Source organism: Homo sapiens, chromosome 10 (genome assembly GCF_000001405.40).
Source record: "Homo sapiens chromosome 10, GRCh38.p14 Primary Assembly".
Lineage (NCBI taxonomy): Eukaryota > Metazoa > Chordata > Mammalia > Primates > Hominidae > Homo > Homo sapiens.
This window is the reverse complement of record NC_000010.11, coordinates 60,232,395-60,257,940: the sequence shown is the minus strand read 5'-3', so window position 1 is coordinate 60,257,940 and position 25,546 is coordinate 60,232,395. Positions and strand designations below refer to the sequence as shown.

General features: G+C 38.7%; 1 protein-coding gene across 4 annotated transcripts in view; it reads left to right on the top strand.

Annotated features, from left to right (window-relative positions):
• Positions 1 to 25,546, top strand: part of ANK3 (ankyrin 3) — a 707,231-nt gene that overhangs the window by 475,588 nt on the left and 206,097 nt on the right. For all 4 annotated transcript variants that reach the window (NM_001204403.2, NM_001204404.2, NM_001320874.2 and 1 more), the window contains one exon: positions 23,155 to 23,253. In NM_001204403.2, coding sequence (NP_001191332.1) covers positions 23,155 to 23,253 — 99 coding nt within the window. The remainder of the gene's footprint in view (positions 1 to 23,154; positions 23,254 to 25,546) is intronic.

Here is a 25,546-nt window from a genome sequence, read left to right as displayed (position 1 = left end):
TTGGCCTTTCTCTTGTAAATTATTATTCAACTTCCCATTTTGAGAAGATAATTGAATAAAGCATTCTTCTGTTAGTCTTGCCATTTAGCACTTTCTGTTTTGATCTCTGAAAGGATTAGGGATTTATGTGTTTGGATTCTATACCTCATTTGTTTCCAAAAAGATTTCGGGTGGTTTACAGATTAAAATATACAGACGTGAAGGGCGGAACCAAAAAAGTAAATGTTACCAAGCAGCAGGAATGAGCCAGTAAATACAATGGAAAATAAATATAGGCCTTAAAAGCTTTGATATATATAGTGGAAAGGGAAGCATGGATAATAGAGTTTCCACTTTTGACAACTGAAATCCTGTAGTTACCTATAGAGACAATTTTTGTGTGAAATAACTCAAACATTATTTTTATCATATGAATCCTTAAGAACAGAGAATTAAATAGTTAGCAATATCTTTAGTTACTATACTTCAAAAGGCTCAATTCTACTTCCTACTGCCTATGACTGCTATAACTCCATCTGTGAAGGCACCTTGCCCAGAGAAGCTGAGAGACTGTGGCCCAGCTACTTAACTTTATGATGATCTAGTTGTGTAGGAAAGAACTTGGCATGTATGGCACAGATCAGTGACTGGTTAACATGTCCATTGGGCTGCCTTTTTCAAATATTGGGTATTTTATACAAGGTTTTGATCGATATTGGACCACATTCAGAACCCTACTAAATCATACAAAGGGTTACTTTATTTAAGATATTTTAATGTTTGGATAAAATGAGAGCAATGTTTTTAGATACTTGAACTACTAAGCCTGTTGGTGGAAAAATAAAAGGATTAGACTTCTCTTCTGCACTTATATACTGTTGGTAGGAACGTAAATTAGTTCAGCCACAAATTGGAAAGCAGTTTGGAGATTTCTCAAAGAACTTAAACTACCATTCAACCCAGCAATCCCATTACTGAATATGTATTCAGAAGAAAATAAATTGTCTTGCCAAAAAATACGTGTTCACATGTTCATTGAAGCACTATTTATGATAGCAAAGACACAGAATCAACCTAGGTGCCCATCAACAGTGGACTGGATGAAGAAAATGTGGTACATATATACTATGGAGTACCACACAGCCATGAGAAAGGAACAAAGTCATGTTTTTTGCAGCAACATGGATGCAGCTGGAGGCCATTATCCCAAGCAAATTAATGCAGGAACAGGAAACCAAGTACTACGTATTCTCATTTACTAGTGGGAGCTAAATGTGGGGTACTCATGGACATAAAGATGACAACAATAGACACTGGGGACTACTGTTGTGGCAGAGTTGAAAAACTACCTATTGGGTACTATGCTCACAACCTAGGTGATGAGATCTTTCGTACACCAAACTTCAGTGTCATGCAATATACCCACGTAACAAACCTGCACATATACCTCCTGAATATAAAGGTTGAGATTATTTTTTTAAAAGAATTATGTTCTGTCCAAACCTGAGGCCAACATGGCTTAGCACATGCATGAGCAAAACAGTATCCATGGATGAGCATTATCTGGGGGATTTCTTTTCTAAATTCAATCCAATTTAGCAATATTTATAGAGCATCTACTATAAGCTGGACCTGAAGGTTCAGACTTGAGTTACCTACTCTACCATTAGTACTTGTTACTAATGTGTGAATACTTAGTACTTTATTAGTCCCTACACTACCAATTTGTTCAGGCACCAAGGTGCCAAACCATATAATACAATTTCTCCCGTAAGTCCCCAAAGCATAGCTGCATCTAGGCTATAATGCTGAATAGGACTTTTCTAAAAACTCAGGAATTGATGAAAGGAGTTGAAAGCAGAAAGGCAAAGCTGAAGGATAGGTCCTCTGTAACAGTGTCCCCAAAGACCACAGGCTGTGCCCCCTTCCTTGGAGTTCGTCTGGTGACCCCTTCTGAGCCCCCGGAGACCACTGTGTTGCAGAGTCTATCTCATTTCCCCCAAGTGGGAACCCCTTTACCAGATCTCTCCTAGCCAGAGTCCAGGCCTCTTAACCACCTCTGGGCCCCAGTGAGGAAGGAAAGTCTGTTTTCTCTACACCTGGGCTATGTTACTTCAGTAGCCACTAACCTGGGGAACTAGCTTTGATTTAAATAAATTTTTTTTTATTCTCAAGAGCATTTTAAGTGCTCAATAGCTAGTGGCTACTGTCTTATTAAATGGCACAGATATATCGCATGTCCATCATCATAGAAAGTTATTTTGAATGAAGCCATGACACCATCCATCTTAGGCCTTCCTTCCCTTCAATGTCATAATGATCTGAAAATGCAACATTTCCCTCAAGGAAGATGGTTAGTCCCTGACCCCATAGGTGAGCATCACAGCCTGTACTTCCACTCACATTAGGCCTCAAATATAATTTTATTTATCTGCTATTGTCCATTTTGCACACTCTATTTGCTATCTAAGCCCCTGGAAAGTTGAGATGCCCTAGTCATCCTCTGTCTCTAGGTTTTCCTTTGGTCCCCAGGTGCTTACCATGTGCCTGGCTCTGTGCAAGTGACTTTAACATGAACTTAATTCTCTCAGTCTTTCAGAGGATGATTTGTTTTTGCTGCCTGATAGCCTTTTTTCTATTTACCTTCCTTGACATATTAATAGAGTCACCAAAATGTTCAGCTGCATTTCATTCACCTAGAAGGCAATGAATGTAAAAACATCAACAATTCTGCCTGCTACGAAATAAGTGCTCAGTAAATGTCCATTCCCTTCTTTACTTCTGCAGGTGATATTTATAGTAATAATGATTTTTTAAGTTATAATTTATTATCCAGCTTCTTTATTAGGCATTTTACACTTATTGTCATAACAATCCTATGAGGGCTAAAGTAAAAATGTAATAAAATATAGCTCTCTCCCACATCCTGTTTTTCATCTCACATGCAGATTTTGAATTCCCCAAGAACAGACCTGTGTCATCTTACACATTTTGGAATCCCTGGAGTATAGCCCAGTACCTGGTGCTGGGAGGGACTCAGTATATATTTATTGAATTCAAAAATGAATGAATAAATCACTTCTTGGCCTTCCTGTCCACCACTCCTGGTCACCCAGCACCTATACAAACCTGCTTTCCTCTCCCTAGCCTATCAAAATTCCTGTTACTTCAACTTGAATCTCTCCTGGTCTAGGAGCTGCTTTCCAAACTAAACTCAGCTGCGTTAAGGGAGATGGAAAAATTCACAGGATACTAATAGAATTTTAGACCAGTGCACCAAACCCAATGTCAGAGGCAGAGGGGCAAGTTTATTTGAGCAGCAAGGAGACTTTGCATTCAGCTCTGTAGATGACCTTGGAAGACAGGCCTAGGCTAACTGGGCTAAGCCTAGGCTAAAAGTCTATCGCCAAGCTTTGTTCAAAATTAAGAGTGTTTTAAGCAGGGCCTCAGGCTCTGGGCTGTGAAGGCCCCAAGTGACCACCAGAAGATGCTAGAAAGGACATCAGCTACTGGAGCATGGAGAGGAGGTGAGCCTGGCTCCAGTAAGAGTGTGGCAAACTCCTGATGGTTTTACAAGGGTGTAGGGCTTTTGGAGACTCTACTTTGGTTTGTGTAGTGATGCATTTGCAAACATATGTTTAAAATACTAACGGCTCTCCACATTCTTAGATTTCACATCCATGGTTTTAACCAACCATGGATGGAAGATATTTGGGGGGAAAAAAAAAACAATAAAAAAGAATACAACATAGAAAAAGAATACAAATTTTAAAATATAGTATAATAACTATTTACATGACTTTTATATTGTATTAGTCATTATAAATCTAGAGATCATTTAAAGTGTACAGAGAGTGTGTGTAGGTTATGTGCAAATGCTGATTTATATAAGGGACTTGAGCATCCATGGGTTTTGGCATCCTCAGGAGTCTTGTAACCAATCCCCATGGATACCATAGGATGACTGTATATTTTCCTCTTATTATACAAATCATGCTTTAAACAAAATACAATAAATCACAAGTGAGAAAATAAAAACCACTTATAGCAGACTTTTTTTGGCATTTGAATGTTTATCCCAACAGAGACCACACACACATACATTTCTTTTTTATTGGTACATATTTTTTAATAGGTTTATCTCCTAGTATAGGCTCAACAGCATTAAAGACAAAGACTTCTTTTCTTTCTTTTAAGGGTTATGTAAACCTCCCCATGAAAATGGGGATTTGAGAGCCTTAGCAAAGGAATATGAGTTATGGGAAAGTAGCCATGTGTCTATTGCATTAAACATATTCTTGTTGCCATGGTGATATTAACATTTCAGGAGGAACAAAACCAGTAAGTTTTTGTAAGGTGACAGAATGGAGGAGATGCATGTTTACATAGATTTGCTCTTATAATTATGCTGTGCAATCTCATTTCTGCCTTTTCCTGAATGCCACATCAAAGGAGAATCTCTTACATACATTTTTTAAAGGAGTATTTTTATCTGATGTCCATTTATATACTTGAATTCATTGACATCTTCCCGTGTGGAGTGGGATCTATGTTCCTCACCTACAGAGGTGCCATTTCTAAGTGACAGTGGAGTGAGGGGAGGAATACGTGCTGGACTCTGGACTCTTATCTTGGCTGTATCATCAATCACTAATGTGGTCCAGGGCAAGTCCCTTCATCACCTGGCCTACAGTTATTTTAGCCAAATGAGAGAGACATCAGCCAACCCCAAGCCCTTGTCCTCTGCCCAACCACCTTGTCTGACAGCAATGGAGGTAGTCTTCAGCTTCCCTCCCCCTTTCACAATAGAGTACATATGGGACAGTGGCAAAGTAAACCGCACTGTCAGAATGCTGGAGTCCCACACTGGCCTTGCAGCTTATCCTGGTGCTCTTGAGTAGTTATTTATGTTTCAGCCTAATCATCCATATAATGGGTCCAATGGTAGAACCTAATGCTATCAATGTGATGATTGAATGAAATAATCCACAGAAATTGCTTAACACAGTGCCTGGCCCACAAGACATGGGCAAGGGCTCAAGACATGGTGATGGTTGTCACTGCTTGCATCCAGGAGGGGACGCTGTCACTGCAAGTCACGTTCCCCTGTAAAGCATGACGCAGGTCAGGTCGATGGCACCAAGGTAGCCCTCTAAAGTACATCCAGAAGTAGTCAGGAATGTGGCTTCTCAGAATGAATTATGTTGTTTGTGGTGCTATTTGTCAGCATGAGAAAGTCTCATAATAAGAAATAAGAAATAATAAATGAGAAATAAGAAACTGTTAATTAATGACACTGAGACAATAAGAGAGCCAATAAAAGAAATCATGGAAATTGGAAGGTTTTTCACTTTTTCTCCTTGAATATGTGCCCTGCCGCCTGGGGTGCTGCTCTAGAATTGTTGCTCTGAGAACATTTTTAAATGACCCGAAAAAAATCCTATTTTGAAATTGTGTGAAATGAAGTTCTATTAAGGTAGGAGTTGGCAAAACTCACTTTATTCATTTGCACTTTAAAAGAGAATTATTCATTAGCTGTAGAATTTTTATTTCCCCCATTCAGTGAAAATAACAGCTAGGGGCTGCCATGCCCCAGACTGATGCTCTGCTAAATGTTCCAGCACGTTGTCCACACTCCCTGTCATCAGACAGTGCATTTGGATCTGCTCAGATGAATCCTGGTCCCCTCCTTGAGCACTGCAGTTCTTCCACAGCAGTGAAAAAAACATTGCTCTTCTTCCTCTGGTGGTTTGAAGAATATACAGAAAGGGCAAAGGGGTACCTAGAGTGTAGAGGTTAGGGTTCATAGAACTGAAGGATTGCACAGGTGTCAGCCCCTTTGGACACAGGCACGATCATTTATTGGCCCTCTTCCAAACTTAAGCAAGAAGTTCTAAGAAAATAAATTCAGATAGAAGATCAGCATGGACCAGATAATTGGTAGGAAAAAGTTGCAAAGCTAGACTGTGATGGAAATATAGAAATGGGGATCAGCTCCAAGAAAAGGAGGCTGAAGCCCAGATGCAGGTGTGAAATGAGACTGAAGATGAATTATGAGAGTCCAGCCCGGTGGGGAAGGGGCTCAGTGAATACCAGCCTGGGCTGTAGGCACTGGCCTTGATCCTGCAGGTAGAGGGAGTTACTTATTGCAGGTCTTTAAGTGGATAGAATGATGGCAGTAGTGTATAAGGTGAATTATGACACATATGAAGGGGAAATCAGGAAACTGAAGTTACAAGCTGTGGCTGACTCCAGTCACAGAAAGAAAAGTACCGACAGGGGCAGCATGTTGCCCCCTAGTATGATGCACTTCTACTTGCTGATGACCTCTGTGGAGTCTGGCCAGAGCCACTGGTTTTCAGTGGAGGGAAAAGGAGCATCATCTGCCTTAAAAGATTTGAAAATTTGTAGAGGAATTTTTGGTTGTCACAGTGGTGGTTGGCATGTAATGGGAGAGGCCCAGGATGGCTTAGGCTCCTTCAATGCATGGGTCAGTCTCACACGAATAACAGTGTCCCAACCGAAAGGCCAGTGATGCACCCATCAGACATGCTGGATTGAACATCTCTTTACAGCCAAGAAATGGAGCAGTGAGGTGTCCCAGGATGGGAAGGAAGGGCCCAGAAATCCATGGTTGGTCTGAGATGCTCCTCAGAAAGTGTCTAGCATCCCCCAGCAATGCACCCCAGAGAGCGGTTGGTCAGAAGACCCTGAGGCTCTGTTCAGCTCCCACTGCTAAGACTTTGAAATACGAGGTGGAAAAAACAACACAAAATTCAAACTAATTTAGTTAATAGCTTTCATGTATCACTGGGTGCCAGGTACAGTAGCAAGTATTTCATTTATTATTCATAATTTCATGAGGTGTGGATATGATTTCCATTTTATACTAGGAAGCAAGAAGTTCCATAACTTGTACAAAGCCACACAAACTAGTGGAGCTAGTGCTAAGATACAGTAAAGACAATAAAAAACTGTGTAGTTCATAATATTGTAACATCAAAGGCAATGTGTGTTTGGGCTTTGACGTAATCCAATATCATCACAAGAAAACCAGAATTGACAGCAGCCTCTTGTGTTCTGGCTGGTGATTTGGTCTCTACCTGGGCCAGGCTTGTGAGATAAATTAAATACATTTTTGAATCCCTAAATAATCGGGCTTTGAAATGGACTCTGGACATTTAGAAACTTGATGATCTTATGACAAAAGCATATGATATATATTTCCTGGTAAGAAATATAAGGCAGGCTTGTCTCTAAAAGGAGTGAGGTCCCCTTAGTTTAAAATATAAAAGCAGGCCGGGTGCGGTGGCTCATGCCCGTAATCCCAGAACTTTGGGAGGCCAAGGAGGGCAGATCACAAGGTCAGGAGATCGAGACCATCCTGGCTAACATGGTGAAACTCCGTCTCTACTAAAAATACAAAAAAATTAGCTGGGCGTGGTGGCAGGCACCTGTAGTCCCAGCTACTGGGGAGGCTGAGGCAGGAGAATTGCTTGAACCTGGGAGGCAGAGCTTGCAGTGAGCCGAGATTGTGCCACTGCACTCCAGCCTGGGCGACAGAGCGAGACTCCATCTCAAAAAAAGAAAAAAATAAATAAAAGCAAATGTTCTAACAGTTTCTAAGTCAAGACCTCTCAACTGGTTTTTCCCAGTTTGTCTCAGCCACATTTTCCCATAGATTCTGAATCATTAACTCTGCACTGGGGACTTGCAATCTGTGTTTTTAACAAGTTCCTCAGGTGATTCTTCTGATCAGGCAAGATTAGAAAATATTGACCAATGCTATGTTATGAAAATGTTTCTCTATATAAATTGCCCAAAGTTGAGTCATGGAAGTCTTTAAAAATCATTTACTTGTAACAATTATTTTTGTGTTGATAACCCCTTAATATAGCCTTGAATTTATTTTATGTCTTACATCTTACAAAACACATTTAGGTATAGTCCATCATATGAAATTCACAAAAAATATACAATTTTATAGATAAGTCAGTGAGGCCCCCATTTGTCTTGGGCCCTACTAAGAATAAAGTGGCAGAACACAGGTGTGAATCCAGACCTTCTAACACATTTTGGTACGCCTCAGTGCGTGACCTGTGGAGCTGGTGGGGCATGCTGGGTTGTGGGGAGAGTCAGCACGGTGCTCAGTGGGCAGCCTCATTGCCTCATTCTCGTTGAGGATGGGGTATCGGCCACTGATGGTAGCTGGGGTCTTCATGGCACCTAGAAGAGTAGCTCCAGCTCCTTAGGACATGTGTGCTGCCCACAGATAAAGCTGTTGGCACAGACTGACTTTAGTATTTCCAAACCATCTTTCTTTAGAAACTTCAAAGACATTGTTTTCATTTCTTGACATGTTTGAAACTCCAGCATCTAATTTGTTAAAAGATCAAGTGAAGGCAAGATACCTGAGAAACTAAGAATTTCAAGTTAACTGATATCTCAGAAGCCTGCAAGAGTGATTTACTTTCTGCGGGGGTAAGAAAAAATATTCAAAACAGAAATTAATTTAGTTCCAGGTTTGTCAGAAGTGATACAGGAGTATAGAAAATTTGTAATATAAATCCCCATTACTTTTTTAAGAATTTTTGATGGCAGAATGTTAAAACAAAAGGGGATGGACTTTTTAATTGAAGTTATAAAATTCATTAGAAACATTTCAGGAAATCTAATATCATTAGATCAACATATTCTAAATTGTTTCAAATGTTAAAATAACTTTCCTCAAAGTAGAGTAAGTAATTGATTCCTCCACAATTGAGTTTTAAATGCCCCTTTCCATTCAACTGCTATATATATCTCTCTACTCATAGATCTTTCTAGCTGGGAGGGGCTTTCTTTACTGTAAAACAGATAGCAGGCTACTTTTGATTGAGCTTTGATAGTGACATCTTTAAAGAAATATAAAGAAAAACCATGAGTTCTTATTTAAAATGAAAGAGTTGAACTAGCCACTCTTTTAGACATTAACTATTTTTGCTGTCACTGAATATGCTGTTTCCTTTTGGCTGGAAATTGTTTCTCGGCAACATTTTCTGTATAGAGACTATGCTACTTGGATTCAGAGCTGGAGCTAATGTTTGCCCAAGTTAGGAAGAGACTCACTATCAGGATATATTTTCTCTTCTGTGACCCACAGGAAAGAGCACAGCTTTGGGAATCAGACAGCTCAGGGTCAAACCTCAGCTCTGGTATTTTCTAGCCATGTTACCTGTAACCCATTCCAGCTTCACTTTGCTCCTCTGTGAACTGACATTAATAGCATCTATTTCATGTGTTGTTATGGAGATGAAATGAGATGAGGCATGTTTCATAGAGCCTGCACAAAGTAGAGGTCCCATAACTGGTAATTTTCTTCCATTTTAATTATGTTTGTTCTCATGTCAAACAAATAGTTTCTTGGTCAAAATCAGTGGTGTCCTTTTTTTTGTAGCAGAACTCTTTTTCTAACTAATTTCTACAGGAATTAGGCATTTACTATGTCAATCTTTAGTGCCCCCAAATTTCTTATTTTTTATGGAATTATGGAAACTCTGAAATGTAGCCTGAAAAAATATATATTTAAAAAGCATATATGGAATACTCATTAAAATGGCTACTATCAAAAAAAATCAGAAAATAGCCGGTCTTGGCAAGGATGTGAAGATATGGGAACTCTTGTACATTGTTGATGGGAATGTGAATTCATACAACCACAATGAAAGCAGCTCATCATTTCCTCAGAAAGTTAATACAGTTAACGTATGATCCAGCAGTTCCACTTCTGGGTATATACCCAAAATAATGAAAAGCAGGTTCTCAAGAGGTATTTGTACATGGATATTCATAGCAGCATTATTCACAGTAGCCAAAAGGTGGAGGCAAGCCGAGTCCAACAGATGAATGGATAAACAGAATGTGGTACATCCATACACTGGAACATTCCTCAGCCTTAAAAAGGGAGGAAATTTTGATGCATGCTACAGCATGAATGAACCTTAAGACATTATGCTGGCCAGGCGCAGTGGCTCACGCCTGTAATCCCAGCACTTTGGGAGGCTGAGGCAGGCACATCATCTGAGGTCAAGAGTTCAACACCTGCCTAGCCAACATGGTGAAATGCCATCTCTACTAATATACAAAAATTAGCTGGGTGTGGTGATGTGCACCTGTAATCCCAGCTACTTGGAAGTAAGAGGCAGGAGAATCACGTGGACTCGGGAGGCGGAGGTTGCAGTGAGCCAAGATCGCGCCACTGCATTCCAGCCTGGGCGGCAGAGTGAAATCCTGTCTCCTCCCACCACAAAAAAGAAAAAAATAATAAAATGCTGAGTGAAATAAGCCAGTCACAAAAAGACAAATACTATGATTGCACTTAACACAGGTATCTATAATATCTATAGTAGTCAGATTCGGAGACAAAAGTAGGATGGTGGTTGTCCTGGGCTGGGAGGAAAGGGGCATAGGCGTAGCTAATGGCTATAAAGTTTTTCACTTTTCAAGATAAAAGGAGTTTGGAGACTGATTGCAGAATGCTGTGTACTTAATGCTGCTGAACTGTGCACTTAAAAATGGTTACAATGGAAGTTTTATGTTACGTATATTTTACCACAATTTAAATTAAAAAAATTTTTAAAGCGTATATTGAAAATCACTGGGCTCTGACTGGGTCCAGTGGCTCACACCTGTAATCCCAGCACTTTGGGAGGCCAAAGTGGGTGTATCACAAGGTCAGGAGATCGAGACCATCCTGGTTAACATGGTGAAACCCCGTCTCCACTAAAAAATACAAAAAAATTAGCTGGGCGTGGTGGCGGGCACCTGTAGTCCCACCTGCTCGGGAGGCTGAGGCAGGAGAATGGCGTGAACCTGGGAGGCAGAGCTTGCATTGAGCCGAGATCATGCCACTGCACTCCAGCTTGGGCAATAGAGCGAGACTCCATCTCAAATAAATAAATAGGAAAATCACTTGGCTCCAAAGACCCAGTCATCTGTAACATCTAATCATGCAAAGGTGGAAGAGAATTTGTAATTAAGGGAGGAGATCCAAGATCAGCTTCCATCCTAGTCTTTCTCCTCTGGCAACTCCTGAGATTGTGTGTATTGGCTGAGGGTGTGTGTGGGGAGAAGCAGGTGTGGGAATCTTTAAATATGGTCTGCTTTCCCCCTAACTCACTTGAGAACCGAAGGAAGACCTGGCTGTGCCTTATCTGAATTGTTGATGAGCCATCCTCTATTAATTCAAAGGGAGCCCTCTGACAGGATTAACAATAAACAGCCTTGTACTGTCCTTAAAAGAAAATAAGGCTCTTGAGTTTAGAACAGATCCCAACACTCAGAGCCTGACTTCACAACAAACAGCAAACATCCAAGCATTTGCTGCTGCTTCCTGGGAAGGCCAGCACTATCAGGTGTCTGATCAAATGGGATTAGTTGGTCTCTCTGAGAGCAGTGAGGTTAAGGAAATGTCATTGGCATCAGTATCTTCGGTGTCAGTCTCAGCAAATCCAGTATGGACTTAATCTCCTTATCCAGAAAGCATACAGAGAAAAATTGGTGTAGAATAAGCAAACAGTTAGCAAAACTGGAAAAGAGAAAAGGACTTTGTCTAAAAAGACCTATTTCATTTAATTAAAGTCTCATGAAGAAAGAGGAAAAAAAAAAACTTACAATGGTGATCATCTTTTTTTCTTTTTTCTTTTTTTTTTTTTTTTTTTTTTTTTTGATACAGGGTTTCTCTCTGTTGCCCAGGCTGGCGTGCAGTGGCACAATCTCAGCTCACTGCAAGCTCCGCTTCCCAGGGTCAAGCAATTCTCGTGCATCAGCCTCCCAAGTAGCTGGGATTAGAGGCACACACCACCATGCCTGGCTAATTTTTCTATTTTTAGTAGAGATAGGGTTTCTCCATGTTGGCTAGGCTGGTCTTGAACTCCTGGCCTCAAGTAATCCATCTACCTCGGCCTCCCAAAGTGCTGGGATTACAGGTGTCATCCACCATGCCCGGCCTAGTGGTTATCTTAATAATGATCACTATGGTATGAAGGAAGTTTCTGAGTTTATTTTATACTTGTGTCACTAATAATAGGTCATCTAAGTCAAATTTTTAAAAAGAAATGTCCTGCACATAGTGTCAGACTAGGAAGGCTGGAGTGTTTTCTTATCAGTCTATTCAAATATTAGAAATTTTCCTGAGTATATCCTTGAAATCTCAAATCCTTATCATTGGAAGTTATCATTGTTTGCATATGTTTTATGGGATTCTTAAGGAATTTAAAAACTTGGCATCCTCATGAAAAGAAATAAAGTACTGATAAGTACTACAGTATGGATGAACCTTGAAAACATGCTAAGTGAAAGAAGCCAGTCACAAAAGATTACATATTATATAATCTCATTTGTGTGAAAGATCTAGAATAGGCAAATCCATAGAGACAACAAGTAGGTTAGTAGTTAACAAGGGCTTGGGAAACAGAGAAATGGGAAGTGACCACCTAATGGTATGGGATTCCTTTTTGAAAATGATGAAAATGTGCTAGAATTAGATACTGCTGCTGATTGCACATCCTTATGAATGGAATAAAAAAATCACTGAATTGTACACTTTAAAATGATGAAAATTATATGTCAATCTTAATAATGCCATTATAAAAATAAACCATTAGAGAAAACTTTCAGTGGAAGATAATAAAAACTTACAGAAAATATGTTTTTATACTCTTAAGAAAATTAAAGGGAACAGAAATTCAGTTCTCTAATTTTCTACATTGTATCAAAACCTATATGACTGGTTTTTTTTTTGTTTTTTGTTTTTTAGACGGAGTCTCGCTCTGTCGCCCAGGCTGGAGTGCAGTGGCGCAATCTCGGCTCACTGCAAGCTCGGCCTCCCGGGTTCACGCCATTCTCCTGCCTCAACCTCCCAAGTAGCTGGGACTACAGGTGCCCGCTACCACGCCCGGCTAATTTTTTGTATTTTTAGTAGAGACGGGGTTTCACCGTGTTAGCCAGGATGGTCTCGATCTCCTGACCTCATGATCCGCCCGCCTCGGCCTCCCAAAGTGCTGGGATTACAGGCGTGAGCCACCGCGCCCGGCCCAAAACCTATATGACTGTTAAATAGAATTTATCAAACATTTATTGATTACCTTTTATGTGCTGGAGAGTTAGCAGATGCAACCTCTTCCCTCAGAGGCTAAAAGAGTTTTCAAAAGATATATGTTTATAGCGTGAACAAGGATGGTAGTAATCTTTGCTTCCGTGTATTTCCTGTGCTTTCTCTGTGAACGTATTCACTAATCATTTTTCCGTTTCTATATATACTAGAAATAATGCCAAAGTATAAGAAAATAGAATGAGAAAACATAAAAATCTTAAAATGTATGTGTTTTAAATGTAAATCACACACTGAAATCTGGATCTTCAATTTGTTATGCCACTTCGACTTATTTTTTAATCATAATAGTAACTTTGTGACAAAAATTATGACAAGTGGTAAGAATTAGCAGAAGATACTGGATTCCATCTCAACTTTTATTATTTTAGAATTTGTCTTCAGTGGGAGCATGTCAAGGAACCAAACTAAAAGGCTGTATAAGTTAATCTTTCATTATCTACAAGATTTTGAGTGATATCATCCACTTAACTCTTCCCTTAATGATAACCTCTCCCAGACATTTTTAAAGAAGAGATGAGACATGGGAGGGTTGGGGGAGACATCAGTAATTCACATACATCCTTTTCGTATTTAAATGAAAAGTTTCCCATTTATCACAAGTAATATAGAAAATGGCCCTGATTTCACTTTGGGCAGTTGCAGACATGCCCCTGTTTTGATGATTATTTCATGAAATAAATTTGGCTGGGTTTTTCAGAAACACTGAGAAAGAAGAAATAAGCAAGCAATTCCACATTTCCCAGCAGAGGCAGTTGTTTTTCCAGGTCCCTGACATCAATAGTACCCATATATTTCTATCATATTCTATCATGTAGATCATGTTATATACCACATATGTCTATCATTTTAAATCAACTCCAGCTTTGCCTGAGCTTCCCATTCCTCTCAGCTGCTCCTGATCCCAGCATGGCTCACAGACACAGCCTGTTCTGAGCTCATGCTCCTCTAAGACCCTTTGCATCCCTCATAAGATCCACCTGATTTAGTACCTTATCTTTCAAGGCTTACTTTAGATCGCCATGTCTTTTCTACCCAAATTATTTCATAATATCCTTGTGAGATGCAGTCATTTCATACATTTCTAAATGTCTGTATAATAAGTAATACAAATAATATAACATCTAATTGTTATAATGTTTACTAAATGCCAAGCACCATTCTTAAGACTCTACACTTACTAACTCATTTATCCTCATGACAGTCTATTGTCTTAGTCCATTTTTTGTTGCTATAACAGAATACCACAGACTTGTAATTTATAAAGAAAAAAATTTCTTATAGTTCAGGAGGCTGGGAAGTCCAAGGTTGAGGGGCTGCATCTGGTGAGGGCCTTGTCAAGATGGCGGAGGACATCATATGGTGAGAACAAGAGTATGCATGTCCAGTTCAGGTCTTTCTCCTCTTCTTATAAAGCCACCAATCCCATTGTGGAGGCCATACCCTGATGATCTTATCTAATCATTAATCCCTGCCAAGGACCCTACCTTCAAATTCCATCAACATATGAATTTGGAGATTAAGTTTCTAACATATAAAATTAGGGGGGCATATTCAAACCATAGCAACTATGATATGAGTAAGTACTATTATTAGCCTAATTTTACAGATAAGAGATCTGCAATACAGAGAATTTAAGTAAACTTACCTAAGGTTAATTAGCTAGTATGGGGCAGGCCTGGAATTTGAACCTAAGCAATCTAGCCCTTAACCACTGTCCTGTCCTGCCACAATGCAATGTTTCTCTCTTAACACACTCTTAGGTGCTCCAAAAATGCAAAAATAGTAAGACATAAGTATATATTAGTACACTACAAAGTAAGTACGGTGACAGCATGACCTGGTCTAGCGAAAAAAATATGAACTTGGGGTTAGACAACTGATGGGAGCTTTGTGACCTTTGGCAAGGTATTTTCATTTTTAGGGTCTTCAAAAAATCAAATTTTTCAGATTTTCACAGATTTCCTCATCTGTAAAATAAAGAAAAACATTCGATAGTACTTCTTTCTAGGGTTGTTGTGTATATTAAATGAGACAAAAGATATGAAATACCTGTGAATGTCCTTCTTTTAATACAAATTATCTCATGTCTCCTCTTGACACCCCTGTGATGGAGGCAGTGGAGGTATTGTATCCACCGCACAGATGAGGAGATAAGTTCATTAAGGATAAGGCACATTCTCAGTATCAGCTCTCATGAAAGTGGGTGTAGAAGAGTGAGAGTGGGGCCTTGTCTTCTCATTCCTGATGAAATGTGCTTCCCACTAGACATATGCTAAGGACAGGACTGAAATAAAGTTATAACCAGGATAGAATTTCTCCCCCTACCCAATTCATTATTAAAATTTTTCTGTACATTTCTAAGCCAGTTTTATAGTTTAGGAAGTACTGTAAAAAGTCATCTTTATTTTTGGAGTTAGATGACCTTTTAAGAGTTATTCTAAAGTATATCATATGATATAATGTAACATATAATACCATATATTACTGTAGAGCGGTGTGATGAAGTTGTAAAGGAATATATTGAATTTTTACAAATCATAAGTGATCTTAGTTTGTTCTGGGTGATTTGCTTCTCTTTTTCCTAAAAGTAGAAGGCAAAATCTTTTCTAAATTGGAATTTTATCCTCTAACTTCAGTTGTAGGGGCCTTCCAGGAGTAGGTTAGAGACTAAAAACCTTGTCTGAAAATCGAGGTGGAAGGAGATCCTCATGGAAGAAAGTGAATAAACTACAAAAGAAAAAAGGGCTAGAAATGGTATTATACATAAGAACAAAAATCCACACATTAGAGGATATAGCAGTGATCCATGTTGTTTTCTTAAGTACTTAATTAATTTATTGGCCTAGAAATTTGAGAGAATTAAACTTGCTGTGTACTGTAATTTTGCTCAGTCAAATTTCTGAATATTTATCCAGGTCTCATTAATGCTTTATATAAATGTATGTATAGCCGATTCCCTTTGTTGTTTATAAAATGCATCTGCGTATACATGTGATTCCCTTTTTGTCTTTATCCACCATTTTTCAAAAAGGATTAAGGAGAAGTAAATACTAGAGAAAAAAAAGTATTGGTTAATCATATGTATACTTAAGTTTTTTAGAGTGAATAAATATTACCTTGAGTAGTTTGATGGGAAAGTTAAGTTAAATAAGATGCTATTGTGCCGGTGATGAAAATAGTGGTTTATAAATAAACCCAAAGAGTTTAGTGAAATAGAAGGGGTAGTACCTGGGAGTTGGGAAACCTGGGGTCTTGGCCAAGCACCAAGCTCTGTGACTCCATGTAAATCACTTAGCCTCCTCCCTGGTCTCTTCCTTACCTGTAATATAGGTGATTAGACTGAATGAACTCAGAGGTCTTTCAGAAACTTCCCAAATGCTAATGTATTCTATAACATTTTGAATGAACAGGAAAAAATTTATTTGGTACAAGAACAAACATTGTATTAAGAAACTAATATATATAAAATTACAATCGTATTTACTTTTTTGTTTGAACTAAATCAGGTCAAATTCAAAACTCCAGGTTGAATTTGTTTTTATCTAAATGTTAATTCATGCTTCTTCTCACAAAGTGCATATAGATCTTTAATTCTAGCCATACTTAATATTCTACCTTAATGGGAAAAAAAATCATCATATTTTTAGGTGCAGGATATTCTCAGGTTCCTTCAAAGTTTACATATTAGGGAAGTTAATGGCTAAGTTAAACCTCTCTGGGGCATTCAGAGTATAGAAAGCAAGGGATGAGAGTTGAAACAGATGGTGGTAGTGGGCTGCAAATAGGCAATATTAAAATACAACCATCTTTCCACTGTACAAATGTACATGTAGAAATTTTTTAGAAAAGCATGAAGAAGCAAAAAGTCATCTATAATCTCATTACTGAAAGAAATTGTTAACGTTTGGATTAATATCTCACCAGGCATGGTGGCTCATGCCTATAATCCCAGCACACTGGGAGGCCAAGGTGGGCGATCACTTGACGTCAGAAGTTCAAGACCAGCCTGGCCAACGTGATGAAACCTCGTCTCTGCTAAAAATACAAAAATTATTTGGGCATGGTGGTGAGCACCTGTAATCCCAGCTACTCAGGAGGCTGAGGTGGCAGAATCACTTGAACCTGGGAGATGGAGGTTGCAGTGAACTGAGATTGTGCTACTGCACTCCAGCCTGGGCAACAGCAAGACCGTCTCAAAAAAAATTGACTGGGTGTGGTGGCTCACCCCTGTAATCCCAGCACTTTGGGAGGCCGAGGCAGGTGGATCACCTGAGGTTGGCAGTTCCAGACCAGCCTGACCAACATGGAGAAACCTCGTCTCTACTAAAAATACAAAATTAGCTGGGTGTGGTGGCACATGCCTGTAATCCCAGCTACTCGGGAGGCTGAGGCAGGAGAATTGCTTGAACCCAGGAGGCAGAGGTTGTGGTGAGCCGAAATCATGCCATTGCACTCCAGCCTGGGCAGCAAGAGCGAAACTCTATCTCAAAAAGAAAAAAAAATATATATATATATATATATATATATGTGTGTGTGTATATATATGTGTATATGTATATATATGTGTGTATATATATGTGTGTATATATATATGTGTATATATATGTGTGTGTGTATATATATGTGTATATATGTATATATATGTGTATATATGTATATATATGTGTATATATATGTATATATATGTGTGTATATATATGTATTTATGTGTGTGTATATATAGTGTATATATGTATATATATGTATATATGTGTATATATGTATATATATGTGTATATATATGTGTATATATGTGTATATATTCACACATACATATATATTTGGATCAATATATTTTAGAATGCATATATATTTATGTATAAAAATTTATCTTATTTTTCATAGTTTGATATCTTTAATAATACATCCATGTTTTCCATGTCATTAACTTATCACAGTATACCTTCAAATATGGTATGAGCCTGACAACAGTATAGTTCCAGTTTCTCCTTTTCATCTATGTGTGGTTGTTGTCATACGTTTTACTTTTGCATATATTATAAACCCCACAATTTGTTGTTTTTGTCTTTACTTTGGACCATCCGTTATCTCTTTTACTTACCTTCATTTTTTGCCATTTCCAGAGCCCTTCATTTCTTGGTGCAGGCCTAAGTTTCTGTTTACTGTCATATTCCTACTATCTGAAGAACTGAACATTTTATGTATTGCAGGTCTGCTGATGATGAATTCTCTTAGCTTTTGTTTACCTTAAAAAGTCTTTATTACTCCTTGAAGGTATTTTCATTTGGTGTAGAATTCTTATTTGACAGTCAGTATTTAAAGATGTCACTTCTTTTTTTCTGGATTGCATAATTTCTGATGAGGAGGCCACTCTACCTATTATCTTTGTTCTCTGTATGAGATGTGTCTTTTTTCCTTGGGCTACCATCGAGATTGTTCCTTTATATTTCATTTTCAGCAATTTGACTATTGTGTCTAGTTGGAGTTTGTTTATTGTTTATCTTGCTTGGCATCTCCTGAGCTTTCTGGATTTGTATTTTTCTGCCTTTCATCACTCCAAGAAAATTCTTGACCATTCATTATCTCTTCAAGTATGTCTTCTGTCCCATTCTATCTCTTCTCCTTATGCAGCTCTCATTAGCTGTTTTGTATCATCCCACAGCTCTTGGAGGCTCTGTTCTTTCTTTTCCACTCTTTTTTCTCCTTAATGTTTTTATTTTAAATAACTTAAAGTGACATATCTGTAAGTTCAATGGATCCTGCCTCAACTGTGTGAAGTCTATTGAGGAGCCCACAAAGCAATTTACTCTGATATTGCAATTTTTCTTATCAAATGTTTCCATTTGACTCTTTGCTAAGAATCCCATGCCTTTGCTGCACTTCCCTATTTTTCATGCATGTTGTTCCTACTAGATAGAACACTGGATATTGTGTGTAGGAGGGGAGAGATTGAGTTAAATAATATTTTTACCTGGAAATGAGCATACTCATACTTTTTCTTCTGTGCTGCAAATGTGAGAGGTGGAGCCTGTTTTGGCAGGAGTTGAGCTGAGTTTACATTTTGTTTCAGGCTTCAGATTCCTCAGTGGAAGGCTGCCATTGCTTTCTGCTTGGGGTGGAGTCTGGGGCATCAGAGAATTTTGCTTAGTGTTAGTGCTCCACCCTGAGCTTTCTCTGCACACCTGCAGCACAGAGGAGGTCTCCCCACACTCCTGCCTTACCTCAGCAGTTGACTACTCTTGCTTGTTACTCTGTGCTAGGCTAGTGCTAGGGGTTGGGGGTCTTTCATGTAAGCTCAGACTCAGTCTTTAGGGTGTGTGTCTGGGTTCAAGGCTGTGTCTTTCTCCACATTCCTGCCCTTTCCACCACAGCAGCCAAACTCTGCCCTGTATGTATGGTGACGGATTTGAAGGCTCTTTGTACAGACTGCCAAATTGCATTCTAGCAAGCATGTACAAATTTACATTTCACCAGCAGTAAATGAGGGTTCTCTTAGGCAGGCTTTCGAGCTCTAACATCACTGAGTTTCTTTGATATGTTGGGATTTCTTAACTCTGTTGCTTGCTTAGACAGTGGAAGTGCAGCTCACAGCGTTACTCATAGTAGGGCATGATACATTTTTATTGGTTAGCTGAGGAATCAAAATATGAGTAGTCCGTTGAGTGGCCCTGAGGTACCACTTTCATTTTGATTTGTTTCTACTTCACAGAGGCATCTACGATATGATTCAGGAGTAAAAAGTGATTGCATTTTATTGGAAGCTGCATTTGACAGAGATGAGAAGCTAGGGTTTTTAAACAAACGTCTTCTGAATCCTGCCTGAAAATACCACAGCCTGAGGGTCTAGAGCCCAAATTCTGATCCTGATTCTGCCTCTGATTAGCTGTTTCTTAATCTGCAAATTACCAGTTCTGTGCCTCACTTTCTTTATCCAATAGGGTTAATGATATTTATCCTATTTCAGTGGATTGCTGTGAGGGTAAAATGAAATTACAGAAGTTCAGGTCCTTTACAACGCTGTTTAAGTGCTGTAGAATATAAAGTATTTCTCTAGGAAGGGCCAGAGAGGTGGAGAAAATGTGAGAATTAGAAACTCAAGGCACACCAGCATGGCACATGTATACCTATGTAACTAACCTGCACATTGTGCACATGTACCCTAAAACTTAAAGTATAATAATAATAAAATTAAATTAAATTTAAAAAAAAGAGAAAAAAAAGAAACTCAAGGCACCTTTTTGTCATCTACACATCCACAGTATGAGAGAGTGCATGAATATGGAAGAGAGTGAAATTAGAAACAGACTTCTTCCTCTTACTAAACTTAGCCTGTTTGTGATAAAGGTTAATTAAGTCTTTCTCAACCAGTGAGGGCATAGTTTTAAAGGGAAATGGCATGCCAGCCCTTACTCACACTGGGAAGTGATGAGGTCTTCGTGTCACGTCCCACTTGGGGCTCAGTGAGCTCTCCTATTGGTCGGTGTTTCCTTTATTCCCAACCTGACCCTCCATCTGCTGTCTCAGCTCTAGAATTCATCCACTGTGCCGCTTGGGTCACTAGAGCAATACACACTTGTACTCAGAAAACAGACATAAGCAGATCTGAAAGTCGTCATGAAATTTATTTCCTTCTGCCAGCTTTCACTCAAACCAAATAGTCCTCCACACCAAAAAAGACCACAGCGTGCCCAAAGGCACAGCCTATAGTTTCACTTCCTCTTTTGTAACCTGTTATACACAGTCGAAAGCTGTGCAGCTGCAAGCTGGTAGGTCTGGAGCAGGGGTCAGCAAACCACTGCCCACAGGCCAAATCCAGCGCACTGCCTGTTTTTATAAATAAAGTTTTAGAAACACAACCGCTCCCATTTCTTTACATATTGCATGTGCCTATGGCTGCCTTTGTGCTGCAATGGCAGAGTTCAGTAGATGCAAGAGACTGTATGGCCTGCAAAGCAGAATATATTTGCCATGTGGCCCTTTGCGGACAAAGTTTGCCTATACCCTGGGTAACAGCAATATTGGTCTGTTTACTTTCCACCAGCATTACTAAGAGAAATTTGTTTTCCTCAGGTCTCTTTCTTCTTTCATTTAAGATTTATATTTTAGCATCTAAGAATAGTGAGCAAAGAGAATGTGCAACCTTTCCATCTGTGGAAAGGTTGTAAACCTAACCCTAACCATACAACCATTAAAAGCATTTAACTAGAAAAGTTTACATAAAATACAGGGAGAAAAGGACATGTTAAACAACTCCCCATGAGGACTCAATCAGTCAAATCCAGGTGTGGAAGAGTCTACACAATAAATTACCCAGTTTCTTCAATAAATAAATGAACACGGGGGGAAAAAGGTGGGATAGAGGAGCTGTGGAGATTAAGAAAGACTTAAAGGACTCAACCTAATGCAATATGTCGACCCTCCAACTTGAGCAAACTAATGGAGATAGTTGGAGATAATGGGAGAATTTGAACATGGAGGGGGTCTTGGGTGCTATAAAGGAATTATTTTTACTTTCTTCATTATGATAATGGTATCGTGATTTTTTGAGATGTCCTCATCTGTTAGAGATAATTAAATTGCAGTATTTATGGGTAAAATAACATGATGCCAAGAATTTTCTTTCTCCTCTTCTTAAACTCCTTCAGAAAGAAAAAAAAACAGTAGGGAGCATAAAAGAAATAATATTGGCTAAAGGTTGATGTTTACTGAACCAGGGTAAGGAGCACTTGAAGTTCATTATGTTTTTTTGCCCAAACTTTGTGTATGTTGGAACTTTTCATTATTGTGTTTTTTAAAATCATGCATTCAAGAGTTTAAGTGTTGAAGAGTTGAATCCTGGTTCTGCCAACTGTTTCTGCATGTGTAAAATGGGGATTGTAATTCAGATTATGTATGATGATATGAGGATTGTGAGAATTAAATGAAGTAGTAAAGAGTTTAGCATAGTCCCTGACATGCAGGAAGTGATCAATACTTGATAGCTACTATATTGTTTCTGTTATCGAATTATAAATACATAATCCCTGTGAGCCTAGTTCATTTATGATGTAATTGATTCTTTGTGAACAGCAGAACTTAAACTCATATTGCTGCTACACAAGAATAAGAAGCCAGGCATGGTGGTGCACACCTGTAGTTCCAGCTACTTGGGAGGCTGAGGCGAGAGGATCGTTGGAGCTCGGGAATTTGAGACCAGCCTAAGCAATATAACGAGACTCTGTCACTTAAAAAGAAAAAAAAAAAAAAAAAAAAAAAAAACAAGAAATCAGGGAATTGTTTTTGATGTATGCGTACATTTCCTTGACAGTCTGGAAATAATCATAGCGCCTGTAAGATGCTTGGAGAGAAGAATAACTATGGTAGCCTACCACTGAAATCAAGGAGAACACAATTAGAATTTCAGATAATCCTAACAATCTGGTTATTCTTCAAATATTTGTCAAATAAGCATTACAGTTTTCATGAGACTGCTAACAAATGCCTGTAAACACATTTAAGCACCACGGGCATGGGATGTTATGTGACTATGTATAGAAGTAACAGATTTTCCAGTTTGAGTTCCTATTGTCTCTCCTTGACAACCTGATGCTCCCACTGGAACCTGGGAAAGGCTCCAAGTCACATGACACTCTTTTAAACTGAGTCTGTACTGACTTAATCAGCTACTTGTTAGTCAACCACTCACTAGCCAGTATGTATCACTCAAATTATAGAAAAATACATTGACTTAAAAATGCAGGACTTTTGAGCAAAAAAACAAATTATCACTTCATCCATCAGTCACCTCAAGTGATTGAAATAAATTAACTTGGACCCTGCCTCACAGATTCCCTTACAATTCATTCCTTTTTAAAGTCTCCTTCTGAAGAAAATTCCTGTCAGAAGTATTAGGAAGCACACTGTTCATAAAGGATGTTTAGAAAAGGAGAGGGGGAAATGGGGATATGTTGGGGGAAGTTTAGAAAGGAACGTTTTGTTGAAACCAAAAATATCAAATCTGTACTTTTTCCTCTTCTTCCCAGAATGACATCACTCCTTTACATGTTGCATCAAAAAGAGGAAATGCAAATATGGTAAAACTATTGCTCGATCGAGGAGCTAAAATCGATGCCAAAACCAGGGTAAGTGTGCAACTTATGTACCTGCTTCTACTTGTATTCAGGAAGTAGGAATACTTTTCCTGATACCTTTGCACTGATACAACATGAGCTTTGTTTTCTGTTCTATTTGTTATAGTCTCTTGGAAAATGACTGCTACTTTTATTCTTTTTAAAATGGTATGGCCATCCATCTATATTTATAAATACTTAATTCACAGTTAAATGGTACCTGGCTTTAAAAGTTCTAGAGTTCTTGTTGCATTTAATTTTCAAGACACTGTAAGCTAAGCTGTTCGGTCAGTTTGATACTAAAACTGCAAGTTATTCTATTTAGAAACAAATCTGTCTACTCTTGTGCACTGCTGGTAGAAATGTAAAATGATGTGACTGCTATGGAAAACAGTGTGGAGCTTCCTCAAAAAAAATTAAAAATAGAGCTAACATATGATCCAGCAATCTCACTTCTGGGTATATGTCCAAAATAATTGAAAGCAGGATCTCAAAATATTTGCATAACCATGTTCATAGCAGCAATAGGCAAGAGGTAAAAGCAGCCCAAATGTTCATGGACAGATGAATGAATTTAAAAATTTTAAAATACAATGGAATATTATTCGGCCCTTAGAAGGAAATCTTGTTGCATGCTACAGCATTGATGAACCTTGAGGACATTATGCTGAGGTGAAATATACCAGTCACAAAAGGACAAATACTGTATGATTCCACTTATCTGAGACATCTAGAATAGTGAAAATCATGGAAACAGAAAGTAGTATGGTAGTTGGCAGGGACTGGGGGTAGAGGAAATAGTTATTTGATGGGTATAGAGTTTTAGTTCTGCAAGATGAAAAAGTTCTAGAGATCTGTTACACAACAGTGTGAATGTGGTTAACATTATTGAAGTGTCTGCTTATGGATTGTGAGGGTAAATTTTATGTTGTATGTATTTTACCACAATTAAAAATTTTTAAAGGCTGGGCCCACTGGCTTACAACTATAATCCCAGCATTTTTAGAGGCCAAGGCAGGAGGATCACGTGAGTCCAGGAGTTTGGGACCAGCCTGGGCAGCACAGCAAAACCTCCATCTCTACCAATAAAAGAGAACAAAATTAACTGGTAGTGGTGGCATGCACTTATAGTCTTGGCTGTACAACAGGCTGAGGCAGGAGGATCGCTTGAGCCCAGGAGTTCAAGGCTACAGTAGGCTTTGATCACACCTCAGCAACAGAGTGAGACCCTGTCTCTAAAACAAAACAAAACAACATTTTTTAATTAAAAAATTATAAAAACCCACAAATATGTCTAATCTAGGTGTTTATGTCATGTTGCTTCTTTGGAGTGATGCATTGTGGGTAGGGGAAAAAACCAAGACTTAGAATTTGATTTGAATCCAAATTCTAAACTTAGCTAGCTGACTTAGGTAGGCTATTTAACTTTACTGATTGTCCTTTCTCTATCTGAAAATAAAGAAAATTAATGGCCACCTTGTAGGGTTGTTGCAAAGATCAAGATAATGTTTGTAAACTGTGCTGGCATAAAGTAGGGCAGAAATAAATTCTAGCCACTGCTAGTATATCTCAGAGCTCCAGTTAGTATTAAAGTTCTAGCCACGGGTTTTCTTATTCAATATTTCTTGTGCAAGAAGCAATCTAATCAAAAGATGGTCTCACGACAAACATCCATCTATCGAAGGGTTTTAAGTAGTTTTCTTGTAACTGCAACTCCTGCAATCCTGTGCTTCCTTCTTCTAAAAATTCTGATTCCATGATCCTAAAACTGGCCTGGTAACCTCAGCTTAATTTCTGTAGTGCTTTGATTTACTACTTCATTTTTTATTCCTTGCATTTATTTACTCAACCAATAGATGATCGTCGAGTGTCTACTGTGGGCCAGACATAGCAGGTGACAGAGCAAGACACCACAACACTTCCCCTGCCCTTATGAAACAAAAGGTCTAGTTTGTATTCTGTACTTTGACCCTAAGACAGCCCAGCCATAGGCAGGAGACCTAGACTTCTTTTTCTTGATTACCATTGAACCTGGAAACCATGTATGTACCTTAAAAGAAACAAACTTTCTAAATAGGAAAAGGGAAGAAAGGAAGGCCGACCCCTAAATGACTGTCTTACTGGAGAGGTAAATTGAATATAGGTCTTACTGAACTGATTTTGCATCATTCCAGTAAGAAGCAATTATCAGTATGTAAAGAATGCTAGAACCATTGCTTTAAATGGCAGGGGTCTTCTGCCATTTAAAAAGCGCAGGCTATTTAAGGAGTTGTAAGGAATAAAAAGTAGAGATGCATTGCATCTG